At 45.1% G+C, this 17,842-nt stretch overlaps 1 protein-coding gene across 5 annotated transcripts in view, besides 5 other annotated features; it reads left to right on the forward strand.

The window, feature by feature from the left end:
- Positions 14,990–15,862: an enhancer, noted in NCBI's record as "NANOG-H3K27ac hESC enhancer chr18:29598110-29598982 (GRCh37/hg19 assembly coordinates)". NCBI's record gives its function as "activates a minimal SCP1, AML or CMV promoter by ChIP-STARR-seq in naive H9 embryonic stem cells {active_cell/tissue: H9 hESC(naive)}" and the evidence as "EXISTENCE:reporter gene assay evidence [ECO:0000049][PMID:30033119]".
- Positions 15,269–15,563: a silencer, noted in NCBI's record as "tiled region #13938; HepG2 Repressive non-DNase unmatched - State 1:Tss". NCBI's record gives its function as "represses a minimal TATA promoter and a strong SV40 promoter by Sharpr-MPRA in HepG2 cells {active_cell/tissue: HepG2}" and the evidence as "EXISTENCE:reporter gene assay evidence [ECO:0000049][PMID:27701403]".
- Positions 15,269–15,563: an enhancer, noted in NCBI's record as "tiled region #13938; K562 Activating DNase unmatched - State 4:PromP". NCBI's record gives its function as "activates a minimal TATA promoter and a strong SV40 promoter by Sharpr-MPRA in K562 cells {active_cell/tissue: K562}" and the evidence as "EXISTENCE:reporter gene assay evidence [ECO:0000049][PMID:27701403]".
- The window catches only part of RNF125 (ring finger protein 125), a 71,982-nt gene continuing 69,807 nt past the window's right edge, over positions 15,668–17,842 (forward strand). For all 5 annotated transcript variants that reach the window (NM_001436860.1, NM_001436861.1, NM_017831.4 and 2 more), the window contains exon 1: positions 15,668–15,870. In NM_001436860.1, coding sequence (NP_001423789.1) covers positions 15,707–15,870 — 164 coding nt within the window. In that variant the 5' untranslated portion in view covers positions 15,668–15,706. The remainder of the gene's footprint in view (positions 15,871–17,842) is intronic.
- Positions 15,863–16,735: an enhancer, noted in NCBI's record as "H3K27ac hESC enhancer chr18:29598983-29599855 (GRCh37/hg19 assembly coordinates)". NCBI's record gives its function as "activates a minimal SCP1, AML or CMV promoter by ChIP-STARR-seq in primed H9 embryonic stem cells {active_cell/tissue: H9 hESC(primed)}" and the evidence as "EXISTENCE:reporter gene assay evidence [ECO:0000049][PMID:30033119]".
- Positions 16,380–16,429: an enhancer, noted in NCBI's record as "active region_13209". NCBI's record gives its function as "activates an Ori minimal core promoter by ATAC-STARR-seq in GM12878 lymphoblastoid cells {active_cell/tissue: GM12878}" and the evidence as "EXISTENCE:reporter gene assay evidence [ECO:0000049][PMID:35858748]".

The raw sequence follows: 17,842 nt of genomic DNA on the forward strand, positions 1-17,842 counted from the left end.
AGTCCATCCCCTTCTTAATCAATACGGAGGCTACCCACTCCACATTACCTTCTTTTCAAGGGCCTGTTTCCTTTGCCTCCATAACTGTTGTGGGTATTGACTGCCAGGCTTCTAAACCTCTTAAAATTCCCCAACTCTGGTGCCAACTTGGACTGCATTCTTTAATGCACTCCTTTTTAGTTATCCCCACTTACCCAGCTCCCTTATTAGGTCGAGACATTTTAACAAAATTATCTGCTTCCCTGACTATTCCTGGGCTACAGCCACACCTCATTGCCGCCTTTTCCCCCAGTTCAAAGCCTCCTTCGCATCCTCTCCTTGTATCTCCCCACCTTAATCCACAAGTATAGGACACCTCTACTCCCTCCTTGGCGACAGATGATGCACCCCTTACCATCCCATTAAAACCTGGTCACCCTTACCCCAATCAACGCCAATATCCCATCCTGCAGCATGCTTTAAAAGGATTAAAGCCTGCTATCACTTGCCTGTTACAGCATGGCCTTTTAAAGCCTATAAACTCTCCTTACAATTCCCCCATTTTACCTGTCCAAAGACCAGCCAAGTCTTACAGGTTAGTTCAGGATCTGTGCCTTATCAACCAAATTATCTTGCCTATCCACCCTGTGGTGCCAAACCAATATACTCTCCTATCCTCAATACCTCCCTCCACAACCCATTCTGTTCTAGATAAACCTAGCTGACCCCATACATCCTAAATCCTTTCCCCACTCCCCTTTCCATTCCTTAAAAAACAGCCCTAAAAGCTGCTCCCACACTAGCTCTCCCTAACTCATCCCAACCCTTTTCATTACACACAGCCAAAGTACAGGGCTGTGTGGCCAGAATTCTTACACAAGAGCCGGGACTGCGCCCTGTAGCCTTTCTGTCCAAACAACTTGACCTTACTGTTTTAGCCTAGCCCTCATGTCTGCATGCAGTGGCTGCTGCTGCTTTAATACTTTTAGAGACTCTCAAAATCAGAAGCTATGCTCCACTTACTCTCTACAGTTCCCATAACTTTCAAAATCTATTGTCCTCCTCACATTTGACACATATGCTTTCTGCCCCCCAGCTCCTTCAGCTATACTCAGTCTTTGTTGAGTCTCCCACAATTACCATTATTACTGGCCTGGACTTCAATCCGGCCTCCCACGTTATTCTGGATACCACACCTGACCCCTATGACTGTATCTCTCTGATCCATCTGACATTCACTCCATTTCCTCATATTTCCTTCTTTACTATTCCTTACCCTGATCACACTTGGTTTATTGATGGCAGTTCCACCAGGCCTAATCGCCACTCACCAGCAAAGGCAGGCTATGCTATAGTATCTTCCACATCTATCATTGAGGCTACCGCTCTGCCCCCCTCCACTACCTCTCAGCAAGCCGAACTCACTGCCTTAACCTGGGCCCTCACTCTTGCAAAGGGACTATATGCATCAATATTTATACTGACTCTAAATATGCCTCCCATATCCTGCACCACCATGCTGTTACATGGGCAGAAAGAAATTTCCTCACTATGCAAGGGTCCTCCTCCATCATTAACACTTCTTTAATAAAAACTCTTCTCAAAGCCGCTTTACTTCCAAAGGAAGCTGGAGTCATTCACTGCAAGGGCCATCAGAAGGCATCAGATCCCATCACTCAGGGCAACACTTATGCTGATAAGGTAGCTAAAGAAGCAGCTAGCTTTCCAACTTCTGTCCCTCATGGCCAGTTTTTCTCCTTCTCATTGGTCACTCCTATTTACTCTCTTACTGAAGTTTCCACCTATCAATTTCTTCCCACACAAGGCAAATGGTTCTTGGACCAAGGAAAATATCTCCTTTCAGCCTCACAGGCCCATTCTATTCTGTCATCATTTCATAACCTCTTCCATGTAGGTTACAAGCTGTTAGCCTGCCTCTTAAAACCTCTCATTTCCTTTCCATCATGAATATCTATCCCCAATCCTCCATTCTTGACTCCCTCTTTGAGTAGATAGATGATCTTTGCTGACAGGACATACTCCAAAGCTTTCACCCTGATGAAGTCCTATTCTTTACTTTTATACTCACTCTTATTCTCATTCCCATTCTTATGCCATCCTCTACCTCTCCCCAGCTATCTCCACCACACTATCAATCTCACTCACTGTCTCCTAGCCATTTCTAATCCTTCTTTAACAAACAATTGCTGGCTTTGCATTTCTCTTTCCTCCAAAATTGCCAAGGCCTCAATTTACTCATTGCTGAAAAAGGAGGACTCTGTATATTTTTAAATGAAGAGTGTTGTTTTTCCCTAAATCAATCTGTCCTGGTATATGACGACATTAAAAAAACCCTCAAAGATAGAGCCTGAAAACTTGCCAACCAAGCAAGTAATTACGCTAAACCCCCTTGGACCCCCTTGGACACTCTCTGATTAGATGTCCTAGATCCTCCCAATTCTTAGTCCTTTAATACCTGTTTTTCTCCTTCTTTTATTTGGATCTTGTGTCTTCCGTTTAGTTTCTCAATTCACACAAAACTGCATCCAGGCCATCACCAATAATTCCATACAACAAATGCTCCTTCTAACAACCCCACAATATCACCACTTACTACAAATTCTTCCTTCAGCTTAATCTCTCCCACTCTAGGTTCCCATGTCGCCCCTAATCCCGCTCGAAGCAGCCCTGAGAAACATTGCCCATTATCTCTCCATACTACCCCCCAAAATTTTTGCCCCCCCCACACTTTACCACTATTTTATTTTATTTTTCTTATTAATAGAAGAAGACAGGAATGTCAGGCCTCTGAGCCCAAGCTAAGCTATCATATCCGCAGTGACCTACATGTATACATCCAGATGGCCTAAGGCAACTGAAGATCCACAAAAGAAGTGAAAATAGCCTTAACTGATGACATTCCACCATTGTGATTTGTTTCTGCCCCACCCTAGCTGATCAATGTACTTTGTAATCTCCCCCACCCTTAAGAAGGTTCTTTGTAATTCTCCCCACCCTTGAGAATGTACTTTGTGAGATCCACCGCTGCGCCCAAAACATTGCTCTTAACTCCACCACCTATCCCAAAACCTTGTTGCTCACACAAAGCCTGTGTGGTGTTCTCTTCACAGGGACACCTGAGACAGTTCATAGTAATCAATCAAAATGCTACCCGTTGGATATTGGCTTGATGAAGGAAAAATTCCCCCAAAGGAAGGGTGTATGGTGTTGTTACAGAAGAAGGTGAAGAGATGCTTGGCAGCTGAAAACAATAGCGGTTCACTCCATTGGGCCTTGCTCTGGACTGTGCCCCCAATGTCTAATGAGGTGCTTAATACAAATTAGGCTTTTATTGAATATTTTCAGAATGATTGAAGTCAGAGAGAGAGAGAACTGATACTTACTTAACACCACCTACCAGGCAATGACTCAAGGATTTACTTGCTATTGCATTTAACCTCTCACAACAATTCTATAGGTAAACACTGTGTTTTTTCAGATGGGGAAACTAAGACTAAAGAAAAAACTTGCCAAGGACACTCAGCAAGAGAAAGCTGTGGCCTTGAGTGTGTGGGCATTGACTTCCCTCAGTGAGAAATATAGAATCTTTTTTCTCCATAAGAAGTATATGTGGCCATGCACTATGGCTCACTCCTGTAATCCCAGCACTTTGGGAGGCCAAGGCTGGCGGATCACCTGAGGTCAGGAGTTCAAGACCAACCTGGCCAACATGGTGAAATCTGTCTCTACTAAGAATGCAAAAATTAGCTGTGCGTGGTGGCGGGTGCCTGTAATCCCAGCTACTCGGGAGGCTGAGGCAGGAGAACAGCTTGAGCCCAGGAGGCGGAGGTTGCAGTGAGTCAAGATTGCGCCACTGCACTCCAGCCTGGGGGGCAGGAGTGAGACCCTATCTCAAAACAAAACAAACAAAAAACTGAAGAATTTGAAAGAGCACTTAAATAGAGAGATATACCTTATTTATGGACTCAGCACTATAAACATGGCAGTTCTTTCCAAATTAACCTGTAATTTAATGTTAAGTTTAAGAATATAAAGAATTATAAAAGGGACACACTTCCAGGTTTGCCAGGAACAAGCAAAGCCTGCTGTCCACAGTTTTTTTGTTTGTTTGTTTGTTTGTTTTTTTAAGATGGAGTCTGGCTCTGTCGCCCAGACTGGAGTGCCGTGGCACAATCTCAGCTCACTGCAACCTCTGCCTCCCAGGTTCAAGCAATTCTCCTGCCTCAGCCTCCCTAGTAGCTTGGATCACAGGTGCCCGCCACCATGCCCGGCTACTTTTTATAGTTTTAGTAGAGACAGGGTTTCACCATGCTGGCCAGGTTAGTCTCGAATTCCTGACCTCAGGTGAACTGCCAGCCTCGGCCTCCCAAAGTGCTGGGATTACAGGTGTGAACCACCATGCCTGGCCTGATTTTTGTGTTCTTCAGTAACATCTCTTTTTAGTTAACAATGTCTTGGAAAAAATAGAAGAAGGTCAATATTGCGTAAGGGTTAAGTTCATTGACATTTAGAGTCAGAATTCCTGGCTTCAACTCAGCTGTTTTTTTTATCATAAATGTAATCTGAGGCAAGTTTTTAGACTGTCTGTACCTCTGTTTCTCTGTAAAAAGCAGGAAGATAATATTAGTTACCTATTTCATAGAGTTATTATGATGATTAAATGAGTTAACACATATAAAACACTTGGAATAATACCTGATACATAGTTAAGTGCTATCAAAAGTTTTGTTTGTTAGGCTAAGCGCTGTGGCTCATGCCTGTATTCCCAGCACTTTGGGAGGCTGGGACAAGAGGATAGCTTGAGCCCAGGAGATTGAGACCAGCCTAGGCAACATAATGAGACCTCGTCTCTACTAAAAATAAAAAACTTAGCCAGGCGTGGTGGCAGTCACCTCTAGTCCCAGCTACTCTGAAGGCTGAGGTAGGAGGATTGCTTGAGCCCAGGAGGTTGAAGCTGCAGAAACAGTGAGCCACTGCACTCCAGACTGGATGACAGAGCAAGATCCTGTCCCCATTGCCCCCCCGAAAAGTTCTTTTTAACTGCTGCATTTAATATTTATATTTTAAATATATTACACTGTAATATATTTAATTATCCCTCTAATAAATAGAAATTTTGTTGCTTGCATATTTTTGGTACTATAGACAGTGTTTCAGAGAACAACAGGCTGGGACCAGTGGCTCACGCCTGTAATTCCAGCACTTTGGGAGGCTGAGGAGGGGCTGGATCACCTAAGGTCGGGAGTTCGAGACCACCCCGACCAACATGGTGAAACCCCGTCTCTACTAAAAATACAAAAAAAATAAGCCAGGCTTGGTGGCGGGCACCTGTGATCCCAGGTACTCGGGAGGCTGAGACAGGAGAATCACTTGAATCTGGGAGGTGGAGGTTGCAGTGAGCCGAGATCATGCCACTGCACTCCAGCCTGGGCAACATAGTGAGATTCTGTCTCAAAAAAGAAAAAAAAAAGAACAACATTTCTGTTCAAACCTCCTTGTGCACATTTGCCTACACATTAGTTCAAGAAGTAGAAATGTTGAGTTAAAGGGTACATGTATGTTAAAAGTTATTATTAGGCCGGGCGTGGTGGCTCAGGCCTGTAATCCCAGCTCTTTGGGAGGCTGAGGCGGGTGGATCACGAGGTCAAGGAATCGAGACCATCCTGGCCAACATGGTGAAACCCTGTCTCTACTAAAAATACAAAAATCAGCTGGGCATGGTGGCACGCCCCTGTAGTCCCAGCTACTCAGGAGGCTGAGGCAGGAGAATCGCTTGAACCTGGGAAGTGCAGGTTGCGGTGAGCTGAGATTGCACCACTGCACTCCAGCCTGGTGACAGAATGAGACTCCATCTCAAAGAAAAAAAAGTTATTATTATGTTTATTTTATTTTATTTTACTTTAAGTTCTGGGATGCATGTGCTAAATGTGCAGGTTTTTTACATAGGTATGCATGTGCCATGGTGGTTTGCTGCACCTATGAACCCGTCATCTAGATTTTAAGCCCCGCGTGCATTAGGTATTTGTCCTAATGCTCTCTCTCTCCCCTTTTCCCCAACCCCTCTATTTTTTATTTTTATTTTTATTTTTGAGTTGGAGTCCTGCTATTTTGCTCAGGCTGGTCTCAAACTCCTGGGCTCAAGCAATTCTCCTAAAGCTGAGGGCAAACCTGACACTGATGTCACTTGCTTTTAGCTGTTTTTTTTTTTTTCTTCTGTAAAGAAAGGGCCCCTTCAGCCTTACTATAAATAACATCTCTGATGTATGGGTCACAGAGGTAATAGTTGCCTAAGTTGTTTTTCAGGAACATAGAATCAGCTTTGGTTCAGCTCAAACCAGGTGGGACCACTGATCCTTCAACTGGGCCTACGCGCATGTCTGATGGGTGACCTTTGACATCAGAGGGCTGAGAGCTCCACCTCAGATCATGCTAATGCTGCCATGTTTCTCTCTTTCTCTCTTTCTTTCTTTCTTTCCTTCCTTTCTTTCTTTCTTTCTTTCTTTCCTTCTTTCCTTCTTTCCTTCTTTATCTTCTTTCCCTCCTTCCTTCCTTCCTTCTTTCCTCTCTTCCTCCCTCCTTCCTTCTCTCCCTCCCTCCCTCCCTTTCTCTCGATTTATTTCTTTCTCTCTCTTTCTTTCTTTCTTTTTCTTTTCTTTTCTTTTATTTTCTTTCTCTTTTTTATAGAGACAGGATCACCCAGGCTGGAGTACAGTGTTGTGATCATAGCTCACTGCAGCCTCAAACTCCTGGGCTCAAGTCATCCTCCCACCTCAGCCTCCCAAAGTGCTGGGATTACAGGCCTGAGCCACTTGCCCGGCCAATGCTGCCATTTTTTGATCATGTATCCTATGAAGAACCAAAAATCTAGACTACACTTTTACAGAACACTGATTACCTCACTTTTCCTTATGCCTAATTATCTTTCCCCACACCTTAGACCACCCTGCTCTTCTAGCCCATAAATGTCCCTAAACTCCATCTTTGGGGAGGCGGATGTGAGACCCGTTCTCCCATCTCCTTGCTTGGCAGCCCACATAAATAAATTCTTTCTCCGCTACAAAACTCATTATGTTCATGGTTGGCTTACTGTGGTGTGGGCAAAACAGGCCTGGTTTTGTAACTGCCCAAAGGGTTCACCCTGCCCTCTGCCTAGACAGAGCCGATTCATCAGGACAGGGGATTTGCAACAGAGAAAGAGTAATTCATGCAGAGCCAGCTGTATGGGAGACCAGAGTTTTATTATTACTCAAATCAGTCTCCCTGGGGAGCAGAATTTTTAAGGACAATTTGATGGCGGAGAGGGGAGGCCAGTGAGCCAGGAATGCTGATTGGTCAGAGATGAAATCATAGCAAGTTGAAGCTGTCTTCTTGCACTGAGTCAGTTCCTGGGTGGGGCTGCAAGATGAGATGAGCCAGTTTATTGATCTGGGTGGTGCCAACTGATCCATCAAGTGTAGAGTCTGCAAAATGTCTTAAGCACTCATCTTAGGAGCAGTTTAGGGAGGGTCAGAATCTTGTAGCCTCTAGCTGCATGACTCCTAAACCATAATTTCTAAACTTGTGGCTAATGTTAGTGCTACAAAGGCAGTCTAGTCCCCAGGCAAGGAGGTCTGCTTTGGGAATGGGCTGTTACTGTCTTTGTTTTAAACTATAAACTAAGTTTTTCCCAAAGTTAGTTCAGCCTATGCCCAGGGAATGAACAAGGACAGCTTGGAGATTAGAAGCAAGATGGAGTCAATTAAGTTAAATCTCTTTTGCTGTCTCAGTCATAATTCTGCAAAGGCAGTTTCAGTTCAGTAACACTCTCACCTTAGCCAGCTGAGTAGCTGGGATTACAGGCACATACCACTATGCCTGGTTGAAATTATTAATTTTTATTTATTAATATTTAACTTGGCACTGCATACAAACAGTATAAATTTCAAGATGCACAAAAGATCCTACAGTAAAAGTCTCTCTTTCATTTCTGTTCCCCAGGAACTAGTTCCCCTCCCTAGCAACAACCACAGTTATTCATTTCTTATGTATCTTTTCAAAAAATCAACATGCATAAACAGTATATATACATACTGTGCATCTACATATGTTATACATACACATAAACACTTATACCTATGTGTGTGCACATGTATAGTCTTTCAAAAAATCAATGATAGTGTGCAATAAATGGAGTTGTATACTTTGCTTTTTTCACTTAATAATACATCTCAGAGGGGTTTCTCTAGGGCAGCTATAAAGCTGCCTTGCTTTTTAATGGCTGCATAGTATTCCATTGTATGGAGATGCCTTTATTTATTTATTTATTTATTTATTTATTTTTGAGACAGAGTCTCGCTCTGTTGCCAGGCTGGAGTGCAGTGGCGCAATCTCGGCTCACAGCAATCTGGAGATGCCATAATTTATTTAACCAGTCACCTATTGGTGGATATTTAAAATGTTTCTAGCTGGCTGCAGTGGCTCATGAGTGTCATCCAAGTGCTTTGTGAGGTGAAGGCAGGAGGATCACTTGAACCCAGGAGTTCAAAACCAGCCTGTGCAACATAGCGAGACTGTGTCTCTACAAACAATTTCAAATTTTTAAATTACCTGAGCATGGTGGCATGTGCCCGTTGTCCCAGCTACTCAAGAGGCTGAAGTAGGAGGATCGCTTCAGCCCAGGAGGCCAAGGCTGCAGTGATGTGTGAGCCACTGCTTTCCAGACTGGATGACAGAATGAGACACTGTCTCAAAATAAAATAAATACATAAATGAATAAATAAATAAAATGCCTCAAAAATAAAATGTTTCTAATATTTTGCTATAACAAACAACACTACAATAAATATCCATATGTTATCTTGTCTACGTACTTTTTTTATTTTATGAAATACTTTCTAATGGACCTAAAAATGGTGGGCCAAACATTTTTAACATTGTTTTATCTATTCATTGAGTGAATTTATCATACTTTACAAAAACATTTCTCTATGATGAACATTCGGGTTTCCTAATGGTTTTGTTAATAAATAAACTTCAAAGAATATAGGAATGTTTTTCTCATTTCTTCAACCCTGCTTCAAATTATAAACTAATTTCTTTTCATCCCTCCGTGGAAATAAATAACTGAAGTACATATTTTTCTAGATGTTTTAAAGAGCTGTAGCTTTGCTTTCCTTTGGGTTGGTTGAGAGATACATTAGTCTTCTTGGTGACAGGATGTTGATTATAGGCCTTTCAAATTTTCTTTGTACTAATCTATACTTTTGATATACTTCAGGGATTAGAAACTGAATTGTGAATTTATTCTCAGGCTGACACTATCACCATCACTGTTATCATCACCCTTGTCATCTATAAGTTTAAAGATTGACCAGCCTGGGCAACATGGTGAAACCCCATCTCTACAAAAAATACAAAAAATTAGCTGGGCATGTTGGCGTATGCCTGTAGTTCCAGCTACCTGGGAGGCTGAGATGGGAGGATCACTTGAGCCTGGGAAGTGGAGATTGCAGTGAGCCAAGATTGCGCCACTGCACTCCAGCCTGAATCACAGAGAAAGACCCCGTCTCCAAAAAAAGAAAGAAAAAAAGAGAAAGAAAGAAAGAAAGAAAGAAAGAAAGAAAGAAAGAAAGAAAAGAAAGAAAGAAAAGATTTATTAGGAGTCTTATTGGCCTGGTGAGATGGCTCACGCCTACAATCCCAGCACTTTGAAAGGCCAAAGAGAGATTGCTTGCCTCCAGGAGTTCGAGACCAGCCTAGGCAACATGGCAAGACCCTGTTTCTTTTTTTCTTTTTTTTGAGACGGAATCTCATTCTGTCACCTAGGCTGCAGTGAAGTGGCATGATCTCGGCTCACTGCAACCTCCGCCTCTCAGGTTCAAGCGATTATCCTGCCTTAGCCTCCCAAGTAGCTGGGATTACAGGCATGCACCACTATGCCTGGCTAATTTTTTTGTATTATTAGTAGGGACGGGTGAACTGCCCACCTGGCCTTTCAAAGTGTTGGGATTACAGGCATGAGCCACGGTGCCTGGCGAGACCCCGTTTCTATGAAAGAGTCTTATTATATCCGATGCTTTTATCCTTCCATATCCCATTTGCCTGCCTCATTTTGTTTAATACTGTTTTATTATTTTCTAAGAATTTTTATGCTTCTCATCTCTACAGCAGAGCCTTAGTGAAAAAATGCATAGATTTTTTAAAATAAAAGACAATCTAGAATTAAAATCTGGTTCTACAACTTATTTCCTATGTGACTTTTGCTAAGTTAAATAATCTGAGCATATAAAATGGGAATAATAATATTCACCTTGTGAGATAATTATTGAAAGACATGTATAAATATGAATATATTTGTCACCTCTCACATGCCAGGTCCTCTAGCCCTCAGAGTAGCCACATAGGAAGGCAAATATAGCAGGCTATGAAAAACTAAGACGATAGTATGAGATGAATGTGATTTGGAAAGGTTTCCAAGGCCAGGCACTGTGGCTCATGCCTATAATCCCAGTACCTCGAGAGACCGAGGCAGGAGGATTGCTTGAGCTCAGGAGTTCATGATCAGCTTGGGCAGCATATCGGGACACGGTCTCCACAAAAAATACAAAAGTTGGCTGAGTGTGGTGACACATGACTGTGGTCCCAGCTACTCAGGGGACTGAGGTGGGAGGACTGTTTGAGCCCATGAGGTTGAGGCTGCAGCAGTGAGCCATGATGGCACCACTGCACTCCAGCCTGGACAGCAGAGCAAAAAAAAAAAAAAAAAAAGAAAGAAAGAAAAGAAAGATTTCTAAACTAAGACCCAAAATTTGGCCAAGGGTGGTGGCTCATGCCTATAATCCCAGCACTTTGGGAGGCTGAGGTGGGTGGATCATGAGGTCAAAAGAGAAAGACCATCCTGGCCAACATGGTGAAGCCCCATTGCTACTAAAACTACAAAAATTAGTCGGGCGTGGTGGCTCACACCTGTAATCCTAGCTACTCAGGAGGCTGAGGAAGGAGGATTGCTGGAACCCAGGAGGCAGAGGTTGCAGTGAGCTGACATCGTGGCACTGTACTCCAGCCTGGAGGACAGAGCGAGACTCCATCTCAGGGAAAACAAAGACAAAAACAAAAACACAAAAATTTGAGAAAGTTTAGTTATGAATGGCAGAATGTTGGGTAGGAAGTGTTAAGTCCAAGAGAAAAATAAAAGCATGGATAAAGGCCTTGAGTCAGAGAGAACTTAACACACTCAAGGACTGAAATAAGTAGAGAAATTTAGAAGCCTGAAAAATAGGGAGGAGAGTGAAAGCAGCTAAGACCCCCAAATAGTTACTTTGGGAAACCTTACTGTTGGTCCATCCAATTGTCTCATCTCCTTTCTTGGTATAAGAACCCTATTTATGTTGTTTCAGAGAGCTGAGGTGCCAAGTCCTATGGAATAAATAATAAGTTTAAGCCAATCAGAGTGCTCCCATTCTCTTTTGCTAGTGACTGATTTAGGATGGCAATGGTGCCCAATTTTGACCAATTAGATAGGAAGGGAAGCCTGCAGAGGAAGGCCTCTAGGAAGCGTTTTTCTCCCATGTAAAAGAAGAGAGAGCTACAAGGGGGAAATCTTACCCTTTCCTTTTTGTTTTTGGAGGTTGTGTATAGAATTGACTGTTTCAGCCATAAGGGAGACATGCTGAGGATGGCAAGGGGCTGAGGCTGTGAGGACATAATTGAGCTGCTGAGACATCTCTGGAACTGTTTACACCTGGACTAGTTTGCCATATTCGATAATAAATATCTTTTTTTTTTTTGAGACAGAGTCTTGCTCTGTTGCCCCAGGCTAGAGTGCAGTGACATGATCTTGGCTCACTGCAACCTCTACCTCCTGGGTTCAAGCGAGTCTCCTGCCTCAGCCTCCTGAGTAGCTGGGCTTACAAGTGTGTGCCACCATGCCCGGCTAATTTTTGTATTTTTATTAGAGATGGAGTTTCATCACGTTGGCCAGGCTGGTCTCGAACTCCTGACCTCATGATCAGCCTGCCTCTGCCTCCCAAAGTGCTGGGATTACAGGTGTAAGCCACTGAGCTGGTCGATAATAAATATCCTTACTGAACGAGGCACTTTTAGTTGAATTTCTGATTCCTGCCATCAAAAGTAAGTCTTGCAGGAATTTTTAGATAATATTAAGGATTTGGAATTTAATCCTAAGGATTAGGAGAGCTATTAAAGGATTTTGTGCATGGGGTGACACAAGATGTTTGCTTTTCAAAAGATCACTTTAGTTGCCATGTGGATAATAAACTGGAGAGAGGCAATGATGGATGCGGGTAGAGCAGTTAGGAACTACTGCCATTAAGTCACACAAGAGAATGCAGTGATTTAAAATAAGCGGTGGCTATGGAAATAGAAGAAAATGAGCATGGTGGCTCACGCCTGTAATCCCAGCACTTTGGGAGGCCAAGGCAGGCGGATCATGAGGTCAGGAGTTCACGACTAGCCTGGCCAACATGGTGAAACTCCGTCTCTACCAAAAATATAATAAAATTAGCCGGGTGTGGTGGCATGCGCCTGCAATCCCAGCTACTCAGGAGGCTGAGGCAGGAGAATCACTTGAACCCAGGAGGCAGAGGTTGCAGTGAGCTGAGATTGCGCCACTGCACACTTCCAGCCTGGGCGACAGAGAGAGACTTCATCTCAGAAAAAAAAGAACTACTGAGATACATATTGGAGGCAGGATTGTGATTATGCTTGATTCAATGTGAATGAGGAAGAGGAAGAAATCAAGGATGACTTCCAGGTGTCTAGACTGAGCTATAAAGTGGATCATAGTGCCATTTGCTAAAAGAGAGATCAACCACTGGAGGAGGCTGCTACTATAATGAGTTCATTATTGGAGACATTGGGCTGAGGGTGTTTATGTCAAATGGTCAGTCATGTAAGCTATTAGGCTATTGGACATTTGAATGGCCTGGGGTAGAGATAAAGATGTGAAAGTTTTTGGAACCGAAATAGTGACAGAACCTGTGTGATTTTTGAGAGAAAGAGAAAGAGAGAAAGAGAGAGAGAGGAGAAGGGAAAAGGTCCTAAGACAGAATCCTAGGATCTCCAGCCCAGAGCCAGTGGAGAAGGAGACTCTGGCAAGGGAGAAGAAACAATAGCCAGAAAGAAAGAGGGAAAGTCAGAGTGTTTCCAGAAGGAGGGGATGGTCAGCACTAACAAACATAGTTGAGGGGTCAAGCAAAAAAAATAGCTGAAAAGAATCTATTGGAATTAGTTACATGAACGTCACCAGTGACACTGATAATAAAGCAGTTTTTGGACAGATGGAGGTGGAGAGGTTGGTTCAGAACCCAGACTGGACTGAATAAGAAGTGAATAATTAAGAAATGATGACAAAATGTAGAGGATCAGATCAAGAGATTTGGCCTTGAAGCGGATATGGGGCAGGAGTTGAGGCATAAGTGGGATGAAAGGGAGGTTTTTGTTTTCCTTTTGAAGATGGGAATAACTACCTTTTCATCTTATTTCCCCCCCCCCACCGCCTGCCCCCCACCACCCATGCTCCAGCTCCATAGGTCTTTCCTTTCTTTGGTTCTGCCTCATTCACTGTTCCCAGTCCACGCTTTTTCCTAAATCTTTGAATGGCTCACTTCTTTTCATTATTCATGGCTCTGCTCAAATGTCACTTCATCCAAAAATTCTTCTCTGAGCTTATTCTTCTCCTCATTGCCATTTACTGTTTTATCTTCTTCATGGCTCTGATTATCTGAAATGATTTTGTTCATTTGTTTATGGATTGATTACATGTATCTTCCTTTTGTTTGTTGTTTGTTTTTGAGACAGAGTCTCGCTCTGTTACCCACGATGGAGTGTAGTGGCATGGTCTCGGCTCACTGCAACCTCCACCTCTTGGGTGCAAGTGGTTCTCCTGCCTCAGCCTCCCAAGTAGCTGGGACTACACGCATGTGCCACCACACCTGGCTAATTTTTGTATTTTTAGTACAAAAATTTTTACTAAAGAAATGTATTTCTAGTAGAGACGGGGTTTCACTATGTTGGCCAGGCTGGTCTTGAACTCCTGACCTTGTGATCCACCTGCCTCGGCCTCCCAAATTGCTGGGATTTCAGGCGTGAGCCACTGCACCCAGCCTGTTTTGGTTTTTTGAGACAGGGTCTCCCTCTGTTGCCCAGGCTGGAGTGCAGTGGCATGATCTCGGCTCACTGCAGCCTCCACCTTTCCGGTTCAAGCGATTCTTGTGCCTCAGCCTCCCAAGTAGCTCACACCCAGCTAAGTTTTGTATTTTTAGTAGAGACAGGGTTTCACCATGTTGGCCAGGCTGGTCTCAAACTCCTGACCTCAGGTGATCTGTCCTTCTTGCCTCCCAAAGTGCTGGGATTACAGGCGTGAGCCACTGCCCCGGCTTGGTTTGTTTTTTGAGACATGGTCTCACTCTGTCGCACAGGACGGAGTGCAGTAGTGTGATCTTGGCTCCCGTGCTCAAGTGATCCTCCCACCTCAGCCTCCCAAAGTGCTGAAATTACAGGCGTGAGCCACGGTACCCGGCCTATATCTCCTAATTAAAAGTAAAGCCTGGGTGAAGTTTATGGCCTGCTAAATACGTACATGTATTATATGCGTTATTATATCCCATGTGTTATATTATATATTATTGTATATGTGTATTATATACTATGTACTATTCTTACAACTGTATGTGAATCTATAATTATCTCAAAGTTTTGTTTTTGTTTTTTAAAGTAAGTTCTGTGAGAACTGGGATTTTGTTTGCTTGTTGACGATTGTGTCTTCATCACTAGAACCGAGTCTGGCGTGCAGTGGGCACTAAATAAGTCTTCGTAAAAAGTGTAAATTAACGCCCGGCTAATTTTTGTATTATTAGCAGCGACGGGGTTTCACCATGTTGGCCAGGCTGGTCTCGAACTCCTGCCCTCAAGCAGGAGTTTCAAGCCCGCCTCGGCCTCCCAAAGTGTTGGAATTACAGGCGTGGGCCACCGCGCCTGGCTGATCATGTTTAAAGGGCGGGGTGGGGAGCGTACAAACAACAGAGGAAATCCTGAGCCGCAGAGGAAACTGGAGATGGCAGGGTTTAGCACTAGAATCTCTGTAGGAGAGGTAAGATTGGAATCCTAATCTCCAGGACTCTTTCCACTACCCAGGCTATCTCTCCATTAATGGACTATTGATTGGATGACAGAGTAGCGATAGCACCGTCTTAGGAGACGCCCAATCATAGGTCATAGGTCATTTTTGCAGCTTATTGTGATGACAACAGTGGAGGATGGTCTTCCACTTCACCTTAAAAGCGGCTGTTCTCTGATTATCATTAAGCATGGCCACGCCCGCACTTAACTTCTGACAGTGGGGAAAGCAGCTGTGTGTGATAGCTTGGAAGGTTTACTGCTGCCTCAAGTCCTCTTCTCTGCAGTTGAGGTTTCAGGTTTCAATCCTCCCAATACCACAAGACAGAGCACGGGGCGGCTGCCGCCTCCGCCTCCGCGCCTTAACCTAGGCGGCTTGCCGAAGATCTCAGCCCCGCGGCCGCGCGCTCGCCCTGCCCTAGACCAGGGTTGGGCGCAGCGGCGGAGGTGGCTTCTGGGCTGCGCGAGCTGGGAGAGCTGGGAGGCGGCGATCGCAGCTGGGCCGGGACTTCCTTCCTCCACCGCACGGCAACAAAACAACCCTGCGGCAGGCACTGAGTGCTTCGCAGCTGTCTGGGCGAGAGGCACAGCGATGGGCTCCGTGCTGAGCACCGACAGCGGCAAATCGGCGCCCGCCTCTGCCACCGCGCGGGCCCTGGAGCGCAGGAGGGACCCGGAGTTGCCCGTCACGTCCTTCGACTGCGCCGTGTGCCTTGAGGTGTTACACCAGCCTGTCCGGACCCGCTGTGGCCACGTGTAAGTTCCAGGGGAGCTCGGTTTGCGCCCACCCCTAAGGAGGGCGATGTGGGGAAGCTGAGGGCATGGTGTGGGGAAGGAGGGGGACGGAAGACAGCCTCTTAGGAAATTGCTGCAGGGAGAAACCTGGACCCGTCGGATGCAGGACCACGGGGAAAACGCGGGTCGGAAGGTGACACAGGATTTCGGGAGGAGAAAAAATAAACAAGCGGGTCCTGTAGCCCCCTTGCGCTTTCAGCTCCCGAAGCCCAGGTGCGGAACTCCAGAGAAGGGGATCCAGGCACGGGTCCCGCCCAGAGCCAGGGCTCGCCAACTGGGGAGGGTGCTCTTGGCTGGAGAACCAGCGCTCGCCCAGGCACGGAAAGGAAACGAGCTCCAGCTACAAGGCAGGGGCTCCCGCAAAGCGCAGTTACCCCGCTGAACACGGTAGAACGGGCTGCGCTTCCCTCTGCCCCAGAAACCCGGGTCCGTTTTGTTTTGCTGGAGCTGTGCACGTGTTCCCAGAATGCCCACAGAGGCTCGTCTTAAGCAAACAAGGATCTGTGCAAAGTGTCTTTCCACCCCCACCCCTGCTACCCTTTCCCAACACAGACACCCAGCCCCTCAAAGGGCAAGTCAAACTGGAGCTTCCGAGTGACTTTCCACAGTTGTTAGAGTTTAACAACCTGCTAGGGTGGGGCTTGGACGTTAGCCGCCAAGCCCCTGAATGTACTCCTTCAAAACCCAGCCACAACGTAACAGGAGGTGGCAGGCTACCTGCTTTACGCACGGTCTCTCCAAACCGGCGGAAATTACAGAGTAAAATAACTTTCTCAAAACCGCATAGTACTTAGCTAAAACTCACAGTTGGTGCAAAGCCGTGGTCGTTTCTAAGAAGAATTTAAAAACAAAGTCCCTATATAAAATTGGCACATCCTTAATGTGTGTTTGAATAACTGGTGGAGTTGGAGCTGTGAATTTGTGCTCTCTGTTTACTGTGTGTGTGTGTGTGTGTGTGTGTGTGTGTTTGAGAGAGAGAGAGAGAGACGTAGTCTGGCTCTGTCGCCCAGGCTGGAGTGCGGTGGTGCTATCTCGGCTCACTGCAACCTCCGCCCACTGCAACCTCCGCCTCCCAGGCTCAAGTGAGTCTCCTGCCTCAGCCTCCCGAGTTGCTGGGATTACAGGCGCCCACCCCCACACCCGGCTAGTTTTTGAATTTTGAGTAGAGATGGGGTTTCACCATGTTGGCCAGGCTGGTCTTGAACTCCTGACCTCAATTGATCCACCCACCTCGGCCTCCCAAAGTGCTGGGATTAAAGGTGTGAGCCACTGCACCCAGCCTTCTCTCTTTGCTTTGATTTTTTTTCGTGGATACGTGTGTGTGTGTTGTGTCTGCACAGATCAGGAGCGGAAGCCTACTTAATGTCCTTTGAAGGGTGACTATAGTATGATGAAGCCATGTGTGATACCACAGTGGCTTGTACCAGCATTTGGCTTAGCAGGAAGAAAGAAATACCGTTATTATGAATGCAAGTGCACAACATGTTTTTGAGGACCACTTTTGAAAGGATTTAGGTAGTCCTTAAAAACATGTTGTGCACTTGCAGTCAAAAGTTTTGACGCCCGGCGTGGTGGCTCACACCTGTAATCCTAGCACTTTGGGAAGCCGAGGTGGATGGATCACCTGAGGTCAGGAGTTCGAGACCAGCCTGGCCGACATGGTGAAACCTCGTCTCTACTAAAAATACAAAAATTAGCCAGGTGTGGTGACCCGTGCCTGTAATCCCAGCTACCTGGGAGGCTGAGGCAGGAGAACTGCTTGAACCTGGGAGGCAGAGGTTGCAGTGAGCTGAGATGGCATCATTGCACTCTAGCCCGGGCAACAGAGCAAAACTCAGTCTCAAAAAAAAGAAAGAAAAAAAAGAAAGTTTTGAAAGGACTTAGGTAATCCTTAATACCTATAGCCTTGTATCTGAAAAGCAGTTTTCACTAC

The sequence above is a fragment of the Homo sapiens genome, chromosome 18, assembly GCF_000001405.40.
Source record: "Homo sapiens chromosome 18, GRCh38.p14 Primary Assembly".
Classification (NCBI taxonomy): domain Eukaryota; kingdom Metazoa; phylum Chordata; class Mammalia; order Primates; family Hominidae; genus Homo; species Homo sapiens.